Here is a 20,805-nt window from a genome sequence, read left to right as displayed (position 1 = left end):
CAGTGGTGGGGACAGATTGAGAATCTGCGTGCCCTGCAAAGAAGCTGCCAGTGGGCTTGGCTCAGGATGGATCTCTTTGCATTACCAGGGTGACTGTGCTGAGAAATTTCACCTCTCAACAAACCACTCTATCACCTCTACCAGCAAGTTAAGCAGAATTGGTATTTAGAATTTTTAGGAGCCCAGAAGACTTCCTCTAAACTTTAACAGCAGCAGCAACCACCACCACCGCCAAATAGTGCAGTCAACAGCAGAGGAACTCAGCAGGTGCTGGAGTCAGATTTCCGGGTTCAAACACCAGTGACACCACCTCCTAGGCATGTGACTTGGGCAAATGAATTAACTCCTCTATGCCTTGGTTTCTTTATCTCTAAAACAGCATCAGAGAAAGGATAATAGAACACAGCTCAGGGTGGGGAAGCGCTTACATGAGAATATGTGTGAGGCACTCGTCCAGCACCTGGCACATGGTAAGCATTCAGTGAAGGTGAGGAGTCACATTCACTCCCTTGTGCCAGGCACAGAGATCATTTCTCTACAGAGGTTAGTGCTAACATGGGAGCTAAGAAGTAATGAGAGCTTATGTCATGCCAGGATTTCCTCTAAGTGCTTGTGAAAGTTAATTTTAGGTGTCAACTTGGCTGGGTTAAGGAATTCCTAGAACCCTGGTAATGCGTCGTTTGTAGGTATGTCTGTGAGGTGTTTCCAGAGGAGATTAACATGTGAGTTTGAGTGGACTAGGTGGGGATCATGGAATCGGCTAGGGCCCTGGAGAGAACAAAAACACAGAAAAGGTGAATGTGTCTATCTAACAGCGGGAGCTGTGATACATATTTCCTTGGGCAACAAATTCAGGCTCCCAGTCTTGGGACTCCAGAACTTACATCAGTGGCACACACTGAGAGTGGTCTCACACTGAGAGTTACACCATGAGCTTCTCTGGTTCTGAGGCCTTGGTTCTTAGACTGAGTCACAACACCCCAACGTCTCCAGGTTGCAGACAGCCTGCCCTGGGACTTCTCAGCCTTCAAAATTGTGTGAGCCAATTCTCCTAATAAATCCTCTCTCATATTTCCTATTGCTTCTGTCTCCGTGGAGAATCCTGATTAATACAGTGCTCTACCCATATTAACTTATTTTAATCTTCAGAAAAATTTAATAAATTAAAAACATGTTTTTATTTCATAGAAGAGGAATCTGAGGACTAGCAGAGTCTGGACATGAGCCCCACGTTTATCTTACTACAAAGCGAATGCCTAAGATCACAGCTTTAAGAGTAGCTACTGCTTGTCATTCTGCCCTGGGCCAGTGACCTCATAATGGAAGCTTGGCTGTTCTTCCAGAAGCTGGGGTGCTGGAGACTGAGAGAGGAAAAGAACTACCTTTGCAATCTTTGACAGCAGAGAGACTAAGGCAGAATTTTCTGATTTCGTATAGTATTTTGACAAATGTGTAAAATGCCCAGAATGTGTAAGCTGCTAAATGAACATCCTGGCCCTGGATATGGAGATGAGAAAGATGTTTTCTCCCCTTCTCCGGCACCAGCATTCATTCTGACATGACTGTTTCTTCTGTCCTTCCTCCTTCTCCTTCATCTCCTTCTCCTTCTCCTCCTTCTTATTCTTTTCTCCCTTCTTTTAAATCCACTTCAATGTCTGCTCTACCATTTACCTTTTTCAGGCAGCATGCTTAATAAGAATGCAAAATGTTCTGGAAAGTCACTACTCAAAAGTGTAGCTCCACAGGCTGGTAGTGTTGGCCTCCCCGGTAACTTATCAGAAACATGGAATCTTAGGCCCCACCCCAGTTCTCCAAATCAGAACCTGCATTTTAACAAGATCTCTAGGTAATTTGCGTGCACATTGAAGTTGGAAAAGCAATGGGCTAGAAGGAATATGAACTTTGGCAACTGAAAGAAATAGACTTGAATCCCAGCTTCTCCATTTGTTATCTGTGTTGCCTTGGAAAAATTGCATAACCTTTCTGACATTGTTTTCTAATCTATAAATTGAACTTCATAATATCTTGTAAATTGTTTTAAGAATTGGTGATAATAAAGTTAACTACAGTTAATCCTCTGTACCTGGTAGAGTGTGAAATGTTTAACATCTATATTCTTTCTCATTTCAACCTCACAACAATACTATTAAGTTTATGCTGACTATATCTCTTGATGCAAATGAAAAAGTTTAATTTACGAGCAGGAAGTGCCATGCCCGGGGTTGCAAGTCAGTAATTGATGAAATCAGCACTTGTCAGAGCTTTGGTTCCCCAAAGAGTGGAGCGGATGATTATTATAATAATTCCATCCAGAATGGAGAGATGTCTTGGTATTCACTTTTTTATTTCTTTAATATCCGTGTGTCTTTCCAACACCATTCAAATTATTTCACATTCCTTGTTTCATTCACCTGGTGTTATGCAATATATAGAATGTCATTATTTAGTGTCTATAAAGCAATATCCTCTCTAATGAGTGAAACATGCTTTCTCAAAGCCCATTGGGTTGTGAGCAATATGGCTGTCAGAAATCAAATCAGTCGAACATCTGATAGTGACCTCCAAGGGTGTGGTTCTTCCCCTGATAAAATTTCCTCCCTCCTCTCCTTCAGGGCAATTGGAAGGGAACTAACTTTGCTCCTCTGAGATCTGACCCCTTCCAAACCTGGCTAAAGCCAGGGCTACTCCTTTCCCCATCCAGGTGTCTGTAAGGTGGCAAGACGTCTTTTTCTTTTTTAGGGCTGTGTCTGAAAAAGACTGTCTCAAGGGAATCCTAAATGGAGACTTCTCCTTGGCCACATTACATCTCGCTCTGGCCCACTTGGCCCCGTTTAAGAAGCTCGTGAGAGAGCATCATGAGCATTCCTCTCAGCAGCATCCAAGAGGGATCCTGCTCAGAGGATGCTAACTTGGTTTTGTTTGTAATTGTATTACAAGGAGTTTTGTCAATGTTTCTAGACCTAGGATGCTTTAAGAATCATTAGGATTAATCAGGTTATAAATCCTTGCCGGGCGTCATGAACAGCATCATCTCATAGTCTCTTTTTAAGGAATAAAAGTGACCCAGACAGATGTTCTGCTAAGGATGTGCTGAGTGTGTTACAGGTATGGGAATTCTTTGGGGTCTGCATGGAGCCATTGATGAATTAGGAGCAGACAGAGGAGGCTTTCAAAAGAACAGGAACTCTGCTGCAAGATCAGAAAGAGGCCTCACTAGATTCCTATAAAAAGAACATAATGAGGCCAGGTGCGGTGGCTCACGCCTGTAATCCCAGCACTTTGGGAGGCCGAGGCAGGCGGATCACGAGGTCAGGAGATCGAGACCATCCTGGCTAACACGGTGAAACCCTGTCTCTACAAAAATACAAAAAGAAAGTAGCCAGGCATGGTGGCGGGCGCCTGTAGTCCCAGCTACTCGGGAGGCTGAGGCAAGAGAAAGGCGTGATCCCAGGAGGCGGAGCTTGCAGTGAGCTGAAATCGCGCCACTACCCTCCAGCCTGGGCAACAGAGCAAGACTCCATCTTAAAAAAAATAAAGAAAAAGAAAAAGAAAAAGAAAAAAGAACATAATGAAATGAGGTGTGACCTCACACTTTAATCTTGATTTCCAAAGGGAGCTCATCTCCCCAAGTCCTTCTCCCTGTCTCTGTGAAGTCCTCTGCACAATGGCCACCAGCAGCTGACAAAGATGAACAATGCCTGCATGCTTCATCTAGTGTGCTCGTAACGGATGCAAGAGGAATAGAGGAAGGGGCTGAGGACTGGAGATTGATTTTGACATTGAAATGTGATGGCTGCTATGGGATGACGTGTGTCCTGCCCTGGGGATAGCCCTCCTACACAGAGCACCTTGTTTTAATTCACATATGTTTCTCTGTGCTCTCTCAAACTGGTTCGGCAGTTGAGGCTTAATTTTTTTTTTTTTCTTCGAGACAGAGTCTCGCTCTGTCACCCAGGCTGGAGTGCAGTGGTGCCATTTCGGCTCACTGCAAGCTCCACCTCCTTGGTTCAAGCGATTTTCCTGCCTCAGCCTCCAGAATAGCTGGGACGACAGGCACGTGCCACCATGCCCAGCTAATTTTTTGTATTTTTAGTGCAGATGGGGTTTCACCATGTTATCAAGGGTAGAAAATAGACCACCTGGAAAGAAGAAAAAATGTCTAAGATACACATGCATTTGGAGTTTTCAAGTCCTTCAGTGAACAAATTGGACTAAAGGCTCTCAGTGACACATCAGATATATGGGGCCCATGTAGCATGGGAAACTTGAGTTGCAGATCTAGCCGTCGGGGGGCTTATGGTATTCCATAATGCCATCGCACTGATTCCCACAATCCGAAGCTGATCCACCTGCCATGGGGGAGATGGAGGCACAGCCCAGCTTCTTAAGCAGCTCACCCTCTTAAGCAGTCCAGCGCAGAGTGAAGCTGAGCCTGTCCGCTGTGGGCAGCGCTCTGAGAGGGGGTAGTCATTACTCTTTACCTTACAATAAGGAGAAATTTGGCATGTAAAGTTATGTAACGTTTTACTTAAGTTTTCTGAAATCAGCTTGAAAGGGTGTAGGTTAAAATCTCCAGTGGTTTTAGCATGAACTGTGACTTAAAAGGGGTCTCTCATTATGAAGTTCAAAATTTAAAAAATGTGTTCTTGACTATATTTTATCGAATTAGCAGAGAAACTCACTTTAGATATTTTCTTAAAACAATTAATTAACAACCTGGTGCCAGATGAAGCTAGGGGTCTGGAGTGGCGCCAGGGCCTCTGAGAGACTGAATGGGGCTGGAGTCCTCTGTGAGGCGCCCTCACATGGGCTCTGATATGTGTGGTGTCCACAAGCAGCCTCTCGGTGCTTGTTCACTTGACTGACCCAGTTTGTTTTTATATAAAACTTTTATAAAACTATATCACTAAATATTTTTAAACTGGCTACTTTACATTTTGTACTGCCTAAAATGTTACAAAAACTTACATAACTTTTATATGTTTCCAAGAATATTGGCCCACGTCTATATGGCACCCCATGGCCAGATCATTTAAGGAATGACAGAGATGGAATGAACGTACACGGCCGTCACTGTTTCTCACGACAAACTCTTCCTCCCATGCCCAAGAAGAGTCTCAAAACAGGTATGAAAGAGTGAAAGACAGAGCTCTCTAACCTTCGTGTAAGGAAGTGACTTTTTTTATAGTAAGTTTTCATCTTATTTTAAAAATATATATTAATTATAGAAAATTTAGAAAATACAGGTAAGCAGAATAACACAAACAGTAATACTAATAACAACTAAGTAACCAGTACTCCCACAGTCTAGTGACTACACAGTGATTACACAGCAAAGTTTCTTTCCAAATACTTCGCCCTGGACCCTGCATGGACTACATTTTCAAACATGCATCTTACGACACATACTGTTTTTCTACGTACTTTTTCATTGAACATGTTATTTTTCATGCGATGATTCTTCTTCCATACAGGTCAGCTAACCTTTTCTGTAACGGGCCAAATAGGAAATATTTCAGGCTGTGTTTCAACTACTCAAATGCTGCTGTTGTAGTATAAAAAGGGCCATAGATGCCACATAAAAGATCAAGCATGGCTGTGTTCCGATAAAAGTTTATCTATGGGCACTGTAATTTGAATTTTGTATAATTTTCATATAATGTCATGTATTATTCTTCTTTTAATTTTTTTTCAACCATTGGAAAGTATAAAACCCACAGCTTGCAAGCCACACACAATGGCAGCCAGCTGTTGTCAGCTGACCCTTGTCCACAACATCCCCTCGAATGGCAGCATTGTATTTTAGTGCACTGTACATTCTTAATGTAGGCAATTTCCCAATGCTGAACAGGTAGCTTACTTCCTTTTTACTTTTTGCTCTTTTAAAGTCTACCATAATGAATGTCTCTGTGTACAATTGCTGGATTAAAATGTATTCCCATTCCCAATGATTTTGCTTTGTATTTTCAGAATGCCTAAAAGGCAACTGCCCACATGCCTAGAACTCATTGGAGATGAAGGGGTGTCACACACACAGGAATAGGGGGCCATAAACAGAGGGCATGTTAATCAGCAGGTCCCTGACGCTGCCAGGAAAATGCTGGTAAAGGGGCAGACGCAGAAGCTGCCAGGATAGAGGAAGAAGCAAAACTCTGTGTCCTCATTGCCATTCTTTGGCAAAAATAGCAGAATTTCTAGAAGGGGAATCAGTTTTTTGCCAGGCCCTGGTCTTCAGCTTATGTCTGTCCCATCGGGTTACAGTAGAATCATAAGGGAAATCATTCACGGGGCCTTGCTCATGTGACTGCTCCGTGAAGGTGAAGCCCCAGCGGTCATCCTCAGACAGACCCATCACGCTGGGCAGGGGAGGGCTTCGGTCTCCTCTGCTGCTTGCGTGCAGGATCCAGAGCTCCTGCCAATAAAGTGACAAGCCCTGGTCACCTGCCCCAGGCTCCCTTCACTCATGGTGTTTTATGCTTTGGGGTCTCCATGTTCTTTCCTGCTGGAGGCCTTTGTCAGGGCCTCCTCTTCTATCAAACGCTACTAATAACATCCAACCGGAAAATGGAAAGGATTGGAGTCTGTCTCCATCCTTTATATCCACAGGCTTCTTCACTCACCTGGAATTGCATCGGCTCCTGGGTGGCCAGCTGTGCAGATACAAGGAGACCTGTGCAGGCAGCCTTCCTGTGTGCTGGAGGATTCCTAGTGCCCCAACCCAGGACAAGGCCCATCAGCTCAAATAAAAGCAATTTTTAAGACATTTTCTGGAATTATGAAGACCTGATGAAGATTACATGCTGTCATCAGAGAGTTTCTTACCAAAAAAGGAGGACTGATTTTTCAGTCAACCAGCTACATAAGCCAATACAAGGGTTCAATGAATGTTTGTGGAGTGCTTCATCATTTACTTCGCATGCATGAATACTAGACTTGCTCCAGCTGCAGTCTCCTCACCTTCCCTGTTTTCCATACATGAGCCTGTGTTGGCCAGAACAACAAGGCAGGGACCTGACCTCTGTCCACACCTCTTCTGCCCTGGTCCCAGTGCCCGGAGCTCCTGCAGGCAGCATCTCATTCATCATTAGAATGACCCTGGATTGATTTCCTGGGGCTTCAATAGTGAAACATCACAAGAGGTGTGCCTGAAACAACAGAAAGCTACTGTCTCACAGTTCTGGGGGCTGGAATTCCAAGATCAAGGTGTCAGCAGGGTTGGTTCCCCCTGAGGGCTACGAGTGAAAATCGGTTCCAGGGCTTTCTCCTGGCTTCTCATGGTTTTCTGGAAATCTTTTGTCATTTCTCCACTTGTGGACTCATCTCCTTAATCTCTCCCTTCATCTTCACATCATGTTCTCCCTGTATGGGTGTCTGTGTCCACAGTCTCCAATTTCAGAAGGTCACCATCTATATTGAATTAGAGACCTACTCTTTTTCACTATAACCTCATTTTAACTAATTACATCTGCAATGCACTTGTTTCCAAATAATTCAGTCTGAGGTCCTGGGGGACTTCAACATATGAACAGGATTTCAACATATGAATTTGAGGGAAAAGAACTCAACCTCAGCAAACTTTATGCAGCAGACTTTGCTATCTATACTTTAAACAGGATGACGATGTCCTGAGAAAATTAATAATTTACTGTGGCCACCTAGCTCAGAAGTCTGACTTCAAAACCGAAACTTTGTCTGGTAAACCTTGCTACTTCTGAACAGAGAGCAACCACGCTCCCTGACTATGTTCGAGTCAGCTTTGAGGGTTTGCTGTGGACACAGTCTCACAGGCACTTGAGGTGAGTAAGTTCTGATGTCTGTTGCCAGCCCTTCTCCCTCGGGCTTGTCTCTCATTCATGAGAACACACTCATTTATTAGCTGTCTTTGCTCCAATAAAGACAAAGCTAAAATGTGTATCCCAGAGAGCTGATTTCAGGGGCTTTCAGTTTTCTGCCAAATTCAATTCTGGTGAAATCTCTCCTCCATTTTCTTAGCAGGGAGGTAAGGGGCCCACTTAGATGCTTTTTGTGGGCTGCATTTTTAAATGAATGCAGCTGGGTATTTTGATTAAATGCATATTGAAATCCACTTATAACTAGCCAATCAAGACAATGAAAGGGACTCAATGCACCATTAAGATTGTTTTCTAAAATTTTTCAAGTTAAACAATTCATTAGGATATTGTTATGCTCTGATATCTCCTAGAAATGGGGACTGAGCCCCAGGACCAGTGACACGTTCCGGCCCATAGGCGACAGCCCTGTCCAATGTAGGATGTCTCGGCCAAAAGTGCTGCTTCTTCCAAGATGGAAATAACTGCTGAAAGAGATTTCAGGGCTATGCTCGATGTGTATCAGGTGCTTAGTGAATTATAAACGGAATCATCAACATGGTTTTGCACAATTCAAAGCAGTTCTGGAGCTGGGGCTGAGGCTTCTCCATCAGTTCAGCAACAGATGTGAAGTGTCCACATTCTCGAATGTCTGCTCATTTCTGTGGATTCTCAAAGCGATCCTTTTCCTTGAGATCATGTTATTTGGATGCTGCAACAGACATTCCTGGGTGGCACACACAAATCCCCACATCTCCTGATTGATTCTGAGCTGTGACTTTATGTGTATGTCACATGCATACACCGTGAACTAGGTGCAGAAGTCACAGACATCAAAGGCATGCTGTTCTCCTGCCTTGCTCACAGTCTGGAGGGGGAGACAGACAGACAAGTGAGTGTAACCCAGCGTGAGGGCCACCCTGAGAACTACAGTCCATGGAGGAGCATCGTGCCTAAGGAGGAGACGGGGAATGTCAGAGAGGAGTTCCTGGGAGAGAACCTTGGAATTGAGAGTCGGAGAAAAGTAACAGTTAAGCAGGAAAAGGGTGCCCAGAGGGCATTGTAAGCAGAAAGAATAAGCTATAAAGCCTTTGAGGAGTGAGCACAGAGGGTGCTGTGTTTAGAGAACCACAATGAGCTCCATATGGATAGAGTATATACAAGACAGCAAAGGAGAAGTTTACAAAGCTTTTACAGTCCTGACAGAGAAAATAAAACAAAATGTCTTCAAGCTCAGTGGCTCATTATTTAACTACCCGCAGCCATAAAATCTCATCTTTCCTTGGGGACAGCCAGGACCTATGACCAGAGTAGTTAGGCAATTTGGCTTCCAGAAAGACGGAGATTTGTGCCAGAATGATCTCTGGACTCCCCATCTTCCCTCGAAGGGCTTTTCTTTGTAAATCAGAAAGTGCTCTATGCAGGAAGATTGAAGAATTAGCTACTATTCCTGAAGACTAGTAAAAATATATATTTAATTTTAGAATTTAAAGTTTTTTACCTTGAGAGTTACAGGTCAGACAACCCATCCAACACATGATTAGCAGAGTAATTTTTCGCCTTTGCAATCCAATGTCACCAAAGGCATTTACTATCTGTCACATGCCAAGCAGTTCCAGAGCTGCCCTGGGGTCTCTGGGTTTTCTGATCCTCATTTGATTACCTAGCCATCACATCCAGATTAACTCAACTCCTTTAGGCTGATCATGCTCCCTAATAACTATTTATTTAAGCTTCCTTAAAGTTTTTCAGCATCGTATATTTCTTAGTATGTCAGAATTCAAGTGAGAGTTATCTTCTCGGAAATCATATAAGCTTCAGGAGGTTCGTATACCACTCTCTGCAATACCTGGGGCCGTGCTTGCCTGGAACCTCAAGGGTGACCCAAAATGAATAAATGAATGAAGTACTCCTGGTATGTTGAGCTTTCTTCTTCAAAATTCTAGAATCTTGCCTGTTTAAAACTAATGAGAGCTTTTATTTATAAAGCAAACGAATGTGGTACACTCTGCTTTAACACTTGACTGATATTATTTTACTTAATGTTTATGAGTGTCCAGGCAGGTAGCTTTGTAGTTAACGGCATAACCTCTGGAGTCACAGTGATTGGCTGGAATTCCTGCTCTCCTATTTGGTAGCTGTGTGTCCTTGGATTAGAAATCAGAAGTGTTTTCTTGTGTTGACATGAGACCAAAAGTGCTTCCTAAAAGGCCACAGTTGTTGCTGCTTAGGAGAATGCAAAACTGATTTCTTCTGTTAGACATGCCAGCAATTATTTGAAGAGACATCTTTTGTTCCCCAAATATTCAAAAGCTAAGGTCCTTTATATTTTCTTCTAATAGTATAGTTTTGTAATCTTTCTCCAACCTCTATCTGGGCCTCAGTTGTCTATACTATCCTGATCCGAGGCAGGCTGTCTGTTTCCTCGCTGTATTATTATGTGCCTGGAGACTAGACATTATGCCTTCCTATCTCTGCATGATGTTGGAGTTATTGGAGCTCAGGAGTCTGGTTCTCTTACTCAGTTACCTATAAGTATGGCAATGCTACTCAAATGACTGAAGCATTCTGGGTATCATTTCCTTACCTGTAAAAGGAGAAACTGAGGCTGCAGTTCTGAGGTGCAGGGGCTGAGATGCTAGGGTTGCTTACAGCCCCCTTCCAGGTGGCCCATTTCCTAGGCCACTTGTAGCATGGCAGTTGACTTCTTCAAGGTCCGCAGGACTTGTGGTGTTCTACTATAAGGACTACATCTCTGTAGCAGGTGGATGAACACATTCAGCTTCCATTACATGCTGCCGGGCCTGTACTCGACTCTGGACTGTACTCTGGAAACTTCAGGAGGCTCGACTATTTAAGAAAGCCCACAGTGAGTACCTTCTACATGGCCCTGTGTGGGAGGCAACTGGTGATGATGTGGGCCTTTGAAGCCCACCCCTCCTTCGTGGGGAGACAGGCACACTGGAAACTTCTTGGATGTTGGGGTTAGACAAACCCCAAGCTAATTATGTGAACCTGGGGAAATTACCTAGCCTCTCTGAGCCTAAGAATTAAATGCACAATACTTGTTGGTTGAGTGAAGAAATGGCATTGGGTTGGTGCCTGTGGAGCTATCAAGGTGCAGCCTAATGTGCCATGATTCCAGGTGGAGGGCAGGTGAACAACAAGCTATGAAAGTTGGGAATCACAGAACATTGCAAGAAATCATGTTCAGAAGGTCAGGACTGGAGCTTCTGGAATTTCAAATACCAGAATAAAGAATTCTGGCTCTTTTCCTGTAATTCAAAGTGTCCAAAAGTGTGTTTATTATAACACGAGATCAAAGAAATATTGATAGAAAGGTGTCAACAAGGTTATAGGAGCAGTTGAAAAACACCGGGTTAAATAAAGTCTAATTGTTTGCTTTACTATATAGTTGCTTAGCATCTTCCTACATCTTTAAATATGCATGTTGTAATCTCTAAAGCAAGGAGATATGTTTTGCAACCATACCAAACCGGTTTGATCACTATTTTTTTTTTCCAGAGAGAATATCCTGGGGCTGGCAACAGGGAACCAGTGTTATTTAATGGAAAGACTTTCAAGAACTTTGAGCAAGAGGATGTTTAGCGAGGATATGCTTTCCTGAAAACAATATCTATTGGCTCTCCGTCTGTTCTTTAAAACCACAGAGAACTAGCCCATCCTCTTCTCTATTGGGTGATCTCCTAGGTCCATGAAGACTGCTATTGTTTCTAGCTTCTGTTTTTTTCATCCATGCTAAATGTCTCCAGATCTATAAGCTGTCTCTCAAATGCTAGCCTGTTTAATTTTCCCTTACCATCTGGTGGTCAGAACTGAATTTGAATTCTAGGTGCATTTTGGCATAAGCAAGAAAGAATGGACCCAATTTTCTTACATATAAAGTGAGCTGGGAAGGTGGGGTTGGTTTCCTTTTCCTTTAGTCTTAATTATGTAACTTAATTGTAAAAAATGTATCTGTCTTCCAAACACGGTCAGTCATAAAACCTGGGCCTTTTTTTCTAGGACAGAAAAAGTACACTGATTTCTTCTCTTGAAAGCTCAACAGCCTGGAATATTTTAGGCACAAGGACATGAAGGGCTGGGGGAGGAAGGCAAATGAATTTTGTGCTTTATACCAAAGCCAGGCTTTTTCTGGTTTTACTAATGGAAGGTGATTATAGAACATTTTAATGTCAGAAAGGTTTGAAAGCCATTATGCTTCTCCGCAGATCTTAAAGCTCTCCTACTTAATGACTAGTGCCTTGGAAAAGCCAGTGTGCATGCTCTACCTCTCTCTCTCACACACACACATACACACACACCACACTCCAAATATAACAGTAAGAAGCTGATTCTGCTATTATTTGTCATGCCTACAACAACCCCTCTGTGTTGTCGGAGGCGCCGAGCACGTGGTGCATTCTTTAGCAGTACTTAGACACGCTGACATAAGATACAAAGATGATCCAATTACACTTTCTGCAACTGCATCTCATTCTGCTAATGCTTACAAATTAAGGGTGTCTGTCACTGCCTACATGAGCCTGTACAGAGAGCATCTCCAATCTCATGAATTTTAGAGTATGTTCCACAGAAATGCAGAAACCAATTCAACGGCAAGGAGTTGACACACAGCTCATAATCCCTGTCTAGTCAGTATGAAAATCTGTCTGTGCAAGGAATGCAAAATGTAGTCACGCATGGAGTCATGGGATATCAGGAGTGTTATTTTACCAGATCAGAGGTAGTGCTTTACTGACATGAAGTACTTAAAGTGGAATTGCTTTTCTGGGTTGAAACATGTGTATGTGCTCAGCTAATTTCAATCAGCACTGTTTAGTTGTTGTGCTTTGCTTTTTGAAACTTTCTGAAACCAATTACCTTCTCAATTGCTTCCATGATATCTCTTTCAGAGAGTCATGGGTTCTGATTTTGGAGTCAGGAGTTGGGAGCGGCGTTGTAGCTTGTCCGTGAGCTCAGGACCCTGAATTACTCGACTTATATGCCCAGCGTGGGGGCCTCCTCCACTTGCTTGAGTACCTGGCTCCCGAGTCCTTCATCAGTTGACTGTCTAGGTTGGAAATGTTTCCATGATCTGAAAACATCCATTCAGTCTTATCTAATGTATCCTTTCTTCTTTGGGCTAAATGTTAACAGATCCTTCGTTCATTCTTCAAATACAGCTCAGTTCCCAGGGCTTTCTTCTGCACAAATGAGTCAAAAGCGCTGCTGCATCCAACAGTGAGAAAGCAGATGTGTCCCCCTCATTCAGAACACCCAAACTCTCTTACTGTGGCTTAAGGGGCTATAACCTTCTGACTCACCCTTCATACCATAAGCTCATGCAGACTGCAAAGCTAACTAATGCTAACCATCCTTCCTGGTTGTTTTTAAAGCAATTTCTATTAAACCTATTTAGTCCACCTTTAGGCAGTTGCCTTCTGAATTCAGGTTCATACCATTACATTTCCTCCTGCTGCAATGTTATTTTCAGCCTGTCTTTCAAGCCTGTCCAGATTTTTGTGAACGCTGTTACTGAGTTTGCATGCACAAGGTTCCTCTCACAGATGAATCATGCCCAAATTTGACAAGTGTACTTTCTACATCTTCCACTACAATTTCTAAGAAACGAATAGGCTTCTACTGACATTAGTGAGTGGCATAAGCCTGAATGAAATAGACTATGACTCTTGACTGGCTGAATATACAATAAAAGCATAAAACACAAAATGCTTTTCCAACATAGATGCTAGAAATGAGAGTAAAGCTAAAATTCCCCAGCCATACACCCCATGTGGGCTCCAGCACTCTACGTTTAGCTGCCCAGATATCAGCACACATGGCTGTGATGGAGCCAGGAGGTGGGTGCTTCAGTCTTGACTTCCCCACTTTCTATCTTGTGTCCCACCATCTAACTTGTTTTGGGCAAGTCAGTTTTTTTGAGCCTACCTTTCCTCCTCTATGGTGTGTGGGTAGTAACACCAGTCAGACTTAACCTGAAAGTTGTGTGAATGAAAAGCATAATCTGTATGTCAACCCTGAAGATATACGTATGTCAGAAATTACTATAAAGAGATCATCAGCTGGGCACGGTGGCTCACACCTGTAATCCTAGCACTTTGGGAGGCCGAGGCGGGCAGATCACCTGAGGTCAGGAGTTCGAGACCAGCCTGGCCAACAAGATGAAACCCTGTCTCTACTAAAAATACAAAAATTAGCTGGGCGTGGTGGCGGACACCTGTAATCCCAGCTACTCGGGAGGCTGAGGTAGGAGAATTGCTTGAACCCAGGAGGCGGAGGTTGTGGTGAGCCGAGATGGCAGCATTGCACTCCAGCCTGGGGAACAAGAGCAAGACTTCATCTGGAAAAAAAAAAAAAAAGAAAAAAAAAGAGATCATCATTAATTTCCTTTCATCTCATGATGTAGAAACATTTAGATGTTGGGATCCTTCCACATACTTATCTAAGAAAATCTCTGGCTTTTTTTTTTTTTTTTTTTTTTTTTGAGATGGAGTCTCGCTCTTGATGCCCAGGCTGGCGTGCAGTGGCACCATCTGGGCTCATTGCAACCTCTGCCTCCCGGGTTTGAGAAATTCTCCTGCCTCAGTCTCCTGAGTATCTGGGATTACAGGCACCCGCCACCACGCCTGGCTAATTTTTTAAATATTTTTAGTAGAGACAGGGTTTCACCATGTTGACCAAGCTAGCCTCAAACTCCTGACCTCAGGTGATCTACCCACCTTGGCTTCACAAAGTGCTGGGATTACAGGCATGGGCCACTTTTCTATTTGTTTATTTTTGTGTTGGTTTTTCTATTTTTGGTGTTTCTGGATCATGGACTTTGAAAAACTTCCTGGCTTAGCAAATTAGTGTCCTTGTTTCAGTAGCTTCTGCTTGAAGATTTCTGCTGTAGGCAATGAGCCAACTGGCCAGAAAATATCCAGTTATGCTCTGCAGGTTCATGGTGGATGGGGACTTTCACTGTTGTTTAGAGAAACCATTGAGTGGATAACGTTCCAAACAGCAAAATCAAATGGGGATTCTGTACACTCGGGAGTGTCGGCTCTGGACAAATTAGGTTGCACTTGATTGTAAGAAGCCAGGCTTTATTAAAATAGAATATAAATATTAACAGAAACGGACTGCTTCTAATCCCCACTACCGTTGGCCAGGGAGGCCTCTCTTCAGGTTTTCTGAATGGAACTAAATAAGGAGCCCATGTTACCGCGGAAAGGGCACTGTGATTAGGAGCCTTTCATGAGCTTCCATGAACGTCTAGGGCTTGGAAACTTCATTTTCAAAATAAGGCTGTTGGATTAGATGATTTTCCCAACCCCTAACCCTCTGTGTTAATGAATGGACTGACTCTATAATCATGTTCCTTGGACATTTCTATGGAAACACTGAGCCATCATAAGGGAGGCCTTCATTCTGATGTAACAAAGCCAGCTGTGTCCACATGAGAACATTGGCAAGAGTGGGGACATGGAAGCTGTGTTCAGGCCGGTCCACGCTGGGTGACCCATGTGACCTGCTGCTTAGCAATTCCTTGTCACCATCTTCCCTTCTCAGCCTCTTTTTTCATGCTAACAGGCATAAATGAAATGATAAAAGTTTGAGCTCTTCTCGTGGAATTCTCGTGATACAGATATGTGCTACATGTTCATCATCTCGTTGGTCTTCACCATGATAACTGTGGAGTAAGAATTATAAGCAGGTCACAGATTAGGGACTTGAGATTGACAGTTTGGCTTCCCTGTTCTGGGTGGCAAAGCCTGTGGAGTACTCACCTACCTGCTGCATGAAGGCAGCATGGAGGGACTGTGGTGGATTATCTGCAAAGATGGCCAAAATTCTCTCATCCCTGCAGGCACATACAAGGTAAGAACACCTTTACCAGTGGAATGTGATGAAAATGCTGCCCAGACAATTCTAGACAGGGCCTTAAGAGGTCTAGATGCTTCCACATTTGCTTTCTTGGGAGCTCTGAGTTATCATGTGAGAACCACCAGTCTCCCCAACCTGCACCCTAAGCTCATTATCCACAAGGCTGTGCAAAATAATAAATCACTGTTGTTAGGACGCAAAGTTTGGTAGTGGTTTGTTATGTAGTCGTGGATAACTGCAGCAGGGATCTCAGCAACTTTTCTTCTCTGAACTAATGTTTAAAGTCAGGATGTAACATATTGTCTCCATGTGACTTTGTTGAACTAAATAAAGAATGCTAATACCAGATGCGGACCCTGCCTCTTCTGTTCTCTAAGACTAGGCATTGCTCTCTGATCAGAAGAGTCAATCCTGGTGAGTTTAACTTGAGCCTCAGAATCCTACTCAACACAAAGTTCCAGAGAGAAGCGATTATCAATGCCAATACCTTAGAGATGGTACTGGCTGTGGAATCTGTCATCCCTTGACTAGGTGGTCTCTAAGTTCCTTTCCAATTTTAATGTTTTCTGTTCTGATTTATCTTTTGGCATTGTGCAGGTGTCAGGAGAAAAAAATAATGCCAATGTGTCTCTTTAATTCCTTTATCATTAAGTCATAACCTTTCCCAACTCCCAATCCAGTTTTCTTACGTCAATACTTTGGTTTTTGCTTTGTGAAGATGCCAGAATCAGTCAAAACTAAGCTCACTGTCCTTGCTAATATTCTGCCCCAGAGAAGAACTGAAGCTCAGCTCTTCACCCTACAGAAAGCCTGAATTTTGTAAATGTTCTGCTTAGAATGAGGAAGAAAGATGAAGAATGAGGAGGAAGAAGGAAGGAACGAGAGAGAGGTAAAGCCAACAAGCAGAACAGACCTACATTTGCAGCATCTCCAAGTTTCTGCAACAGCATTATGTTGTTGTTATGTTTTGTTTTAATAAAAGCACATACCATTTTTTTTGTTACTCTTATATTCTTTTCATAACAGCTCAGCTAAAGACAGATAATGCTGGAGTCAGCTTTTTCTAAGAATTAGTCTCTTCAAACTGGCCATAGAGATTTGGTAGAAGTCATGGGTTTTAATTGAATTTCTCCTAATGGTCTCCCAGGGATGGAAATATGACTGATACAGGCTTACTTTCCCTCTCCCCTCGGTGAAGCTGTATTGCCTCCCACAGAACAGACCGTTCTTTATGTTCTAACCGGGCTTTTCATAACTCCACTGGAGAGCTGTACAAACCCTAGACTTGGCAACGGCTTTTTTGTTTTCTGAAGCCAGACCAATTCTGGACCCAGTTCCTGCTTTCTAGGAAGAAATAGCACATGCAACCAGCCTCTTCACTGATGAAAAAATACCTCACTCCTTTTTAGACAGCTTCTCGTATTGATAATTTTATAGAAATGTACTGTATAAGTGAAAGTCAGCATTTCCATTACACAACAGCCTGCTAGAGCTGCTTCCAAGGGGCAGAGACTCCTGTCGGCTGTTTGTCCGAGGTGATCTTCCTCCCTTAATCTGTCAGTCTAGACCTTAACAATGTTCCTCAAATACCGGCTCAAGTCCTTCCTTCTCCCAATAACTTTTCTATGGTCTCTGGACCTCCTTAGTCTTCAGTGCCGCTCCTCCTAAGTTTCTGCACCACCTGCCTTCAACACCTAGTCTGTGCTGTAAGCATGAGTTTTCTTGTGGCTTCTTTTTCTCAAGGCAGGCTGGGCGTGGGGAGCTGTCTCTGCAGCATCTTTTGAATATAGATGCCATTTCTCACTTTTCTTTTCTCTGTACCCTCTATAGTCCATTGAAAATACTGGGCAATTGATAAATTCATGCTAAAAAGGACGATGATCAAGGTAGGGCCAAGCTGCATGGATGAGGGAAGAGTTGCCACCCACACTGGGCACCACAGGTTCCCTGCACAAGTCACTTTCCCGTTGTGGATCTAGGTTTCCATCTTGGTTTTTTTTTTTTTCCCTTTTATTTATTTATTTATTTATTGGTCAGATGACTTGATCTTTATGGGCTGCAAGAGTCTGTCCTCCCATAGGGTTCAACCTTGGAAACGGGATGGTGTCATTAGAGTCCATCTGCTCACAGCCCTCCATGGGCAGCGCTCTTTTTGGGGGGCTCTGCTCTCACGTGCTGCCTGTGCTGTGGACACAGGTACACTGCCCGCTTGCACAGATAGTGTCTTTCTGCAGCCTCCCTGTTTACATGCTTCCCCAAGACTGGATTCTGGGGCCAGGATGAGCCATGCCCCCCATCTGGCTCTGACCTCCCCTGCGCCAGCTCTGGGTACTAGAAAGTCGCGGTTCTGCTGCTAGACGTTTTCTTCCTTTCTTTAGGTTGTTGCATGGCATAAGTAAAGTGACAGTTATAGGATACATGCAACTTTTCAGTGACAAAGATCTGTGCAGCATCGACAGTACTGCCTAATGAGGTTTCACCATAATGAAGTATCACAACCAGTTTACAGACCAGAAAACTGAGACACAGGAAGGGGTGGTGACTTGAGCAAGGTGCATCAGCTGGTAAGTGCAGAGCTGCAACTTTGCCTGGTTCCCAAGCCCACATGGTTGCTAAGATATATGCCAAGTCTTTTCTCACTGCATTTTTAAACCCCTGGGAAACATAAGACACCATCTCAGACCTGGGTTGGAGACAGGCGTGGAAGTTCAAGATGTGTACTCGGCTCTTCCAAAAACAACCCGAGAGCTCAATTCTCTTCTTTCCCTGTGCAGCTGCTTCCCAGCACAACTGTCCATCTGTGTTCTATTGTTACATGTTTATTTCTTCCTCATGAGCTTTTACAGTTCCCGCCTTTTATGGGATGTTCTTACTCTGGAAATACAGAATGGATTTACAGGGCTGGCAGAAGTACGCTGTTGGTCATTTTCCCAGTGTTGTCATTATGATATGAGGTGCATGGGGCCAGCCAACAATTGGATTTTATGATCAATTACTACCAGGATGATTGCTAATAGACATGTCGTTAGAAACCAAAGGGAGATATTTCATAGCAACTGTTTCTTGTCTTTGCTTTTCTCCTTTTTTGAACTTGACATAGGCCACCTGAGAGAGCTCCTTAGGCCAGCATGCTTGGGGGGTCTGTTGTGTACAAAGTGCTTTCTCTGGAGTCTCCCTCTAAGGGTCAGGAGTCAGCAGTGACTACTGGAGGATGCTAGACACTGGAGGGTAGATCATGTGTACTGCATCTCGCCACTGCAGGCACAACACGGGCTTAACAGATACAGTTGGTTCAAATTCTGTGTCTGCTCTTTACAGAATTTGTGGTTCTAGACAAGTCTCCTACTTTTCTAAATTCTGTTTCATATCTCTACAATGGAAAAAACACTACTAATCTCAAAAATTTTGTTGAGAAGATTAAACCAGATAGCATGGTTTCTGCAAGGCAGAAATCAAAGAAAGAAACCGTGGTGTCTGCTGCTCAAAGTGATTGAAATGGGGGTGTAGCAAGCCCTTGCTTTACACAGTGAGAGGGAGCACAGCAATCCCCAGAGCATGTTGTGGTCAGCCAGCTGTGGGCAGGTGAAAGGCAGGAAAAGGGGAACAGGAGTCCATGTGTTAGCAGCCAGCATTTGGGAAGCCTGGCTGGAAGAGATGGAGTCCCAGAGAGGGGATGGCCATCTAGGAGTAGGAGCCTGAGATGAAGCAAAGAGGAATCAGCTTTTTCAACAACAAGAGTCCTGATAAGATGAGGGGTTTAGTCTTGGAATAGGCTGGAGCTGTGCAGACAGCTGTATAGAAAACTCTCTCAACACCTAGGCACGTGGCCTATCCCAAAGACTGTAGATTCTCTCTGATTGTTGGGGAAATTCCTTTTGCTGTCCTTGCAGGTGGATAACAATGAAAGCAGCTGTATTAGTTCATTCTCACTCTGCTAATAAAGACATACTCGAGACTGGGTAATTTATAAATGAAAAAGGTTTAATTGACCGACAGTTCAGCATGGCTGGGGAGGTCTCAGAAAACTTACAGTCATGGTGGACATGGTGGACATGGCAGCAGGGAGAAGAAAAATGAGAGCTGAGTAAAGGGGGAAGCCTGTTATAAAACCATCATATCTCATGAGAACTTACTCACTGTCATGAGAACAGGATAGTGGAAACCTCCCCCATGATTCAATTATCTCCACCTGATCCCTCCCACCACATGTGGGGATTATAGGAACTACAATTCAAGATGAGATCTGGGTGGGAACACAGCCAAACCATATTAGCTGCCATTTATTGAGAACTTGGTCTAGCCAGACAGGAGGCTGAGCATTCTGCCTGTTTTTCTGTTTTCCTGACTTAACAATCCAGGGTAACCATTACATCGCTGCCTCATTTTGTAGATGAAAAAAACTAAGGTTCAGAGAGGCTACATAAATTACTCAGGCTCCGTGAATGTCAGATCCACACACCCATCCTGGGGACCATTCCATGGCACAAACCCTCACTGATGTCCCTGCAGCTAACTCAGGAAGCATCCTCATTCTGGGTTCTAGAGGAAATGTGCTGGAGAGGGCGTCACCCTCCCACCCCCATTACCTGGAATGATGGTTCCTATATCTTCTCGTTCCTCATTCTTCAATAAAAACCCCTCCAGGGATGTTAATTTAGGGGCTGAGAGTGAGTCAGACACATCCTACCACAGTCCCCCTTGACTTTGACAGGTCTGTCTTTTTTCCCTGCATCCTATTGGATCAGGTGAGAGTTCAGTTGTTCTTGTTGTCTTTGAACATACTTTATTTTTAAAGAAGTCTTAGGTTCACAGTGTAATTGAGTGGAAAGTACAGGGAGTTCCCATAGGCCCACTGTTCCCAAACATGCACAGCCTCCCTTATTACCAAAGTCCCCCACCACAGCGGTGCATTTGTTGCAATTGATGAGCCTACATTGACACATCACCAAAAGTCCCTAGTTTACATTAAGATTCATTCTTAGTGTTCTATATTCTGTGAATTTGGACAAATGTATAGTGATGTATATCCATTATTATAGTGTCATACAGAGTAGTTTCACTGCCCTGAAAATGCTTTGGCTCTGCC

At 43.6% G+C, this 20,805-nt stretch overlaps 1 long non-coding RNA gene and 1 other non-coding gene across 2 annotated transcripts; one reads left to right on the top strand and one right to left on the bottom strand.

The window, feature by feature from the left end:
* The first annotated feature begins 15,299 nt into the window (after positions 1-15,299).
* Positions 15,300-16,712, top strand: LINC03156 (long intergenic non-protein coding RNA 3156). Its single transcript, NR_110497.1, has 2 exons — positions 15,300-15,713; positions 16,438-16,712. It is a non-coding gene; the product is annotated as a long intergenic non-protein coding RNA 3156 (long non-coding RNA).
* Positions 15,380-15,446, bottom strand: MIR7515 (microRNA 7515). The gene has a single exon (NR_106986.1). It is a non-coding gene; the product is annotated as a microRNA 7515 (primary transcript).
* Positions 16,713-20,805: the final 4,093 nt, after the last annotated feature.

Source organism: Homo sapiens, chromosome 2 (genome assembly GCF_000001405.40).
Source record: "Homo sapiens chromosome 2, GRCh38.p14 Primary Assembly".
NCBI lineage: Eukaryota > Metazoa > Chordata > Mammalia > Primates > Hominidae > Homo > Homo sapiens.
The sequence above is the reverse complement of the archived record's forward strand: the minus strand, read 5'-3'. Positions and strand labels throughout refer to the sequence as shown.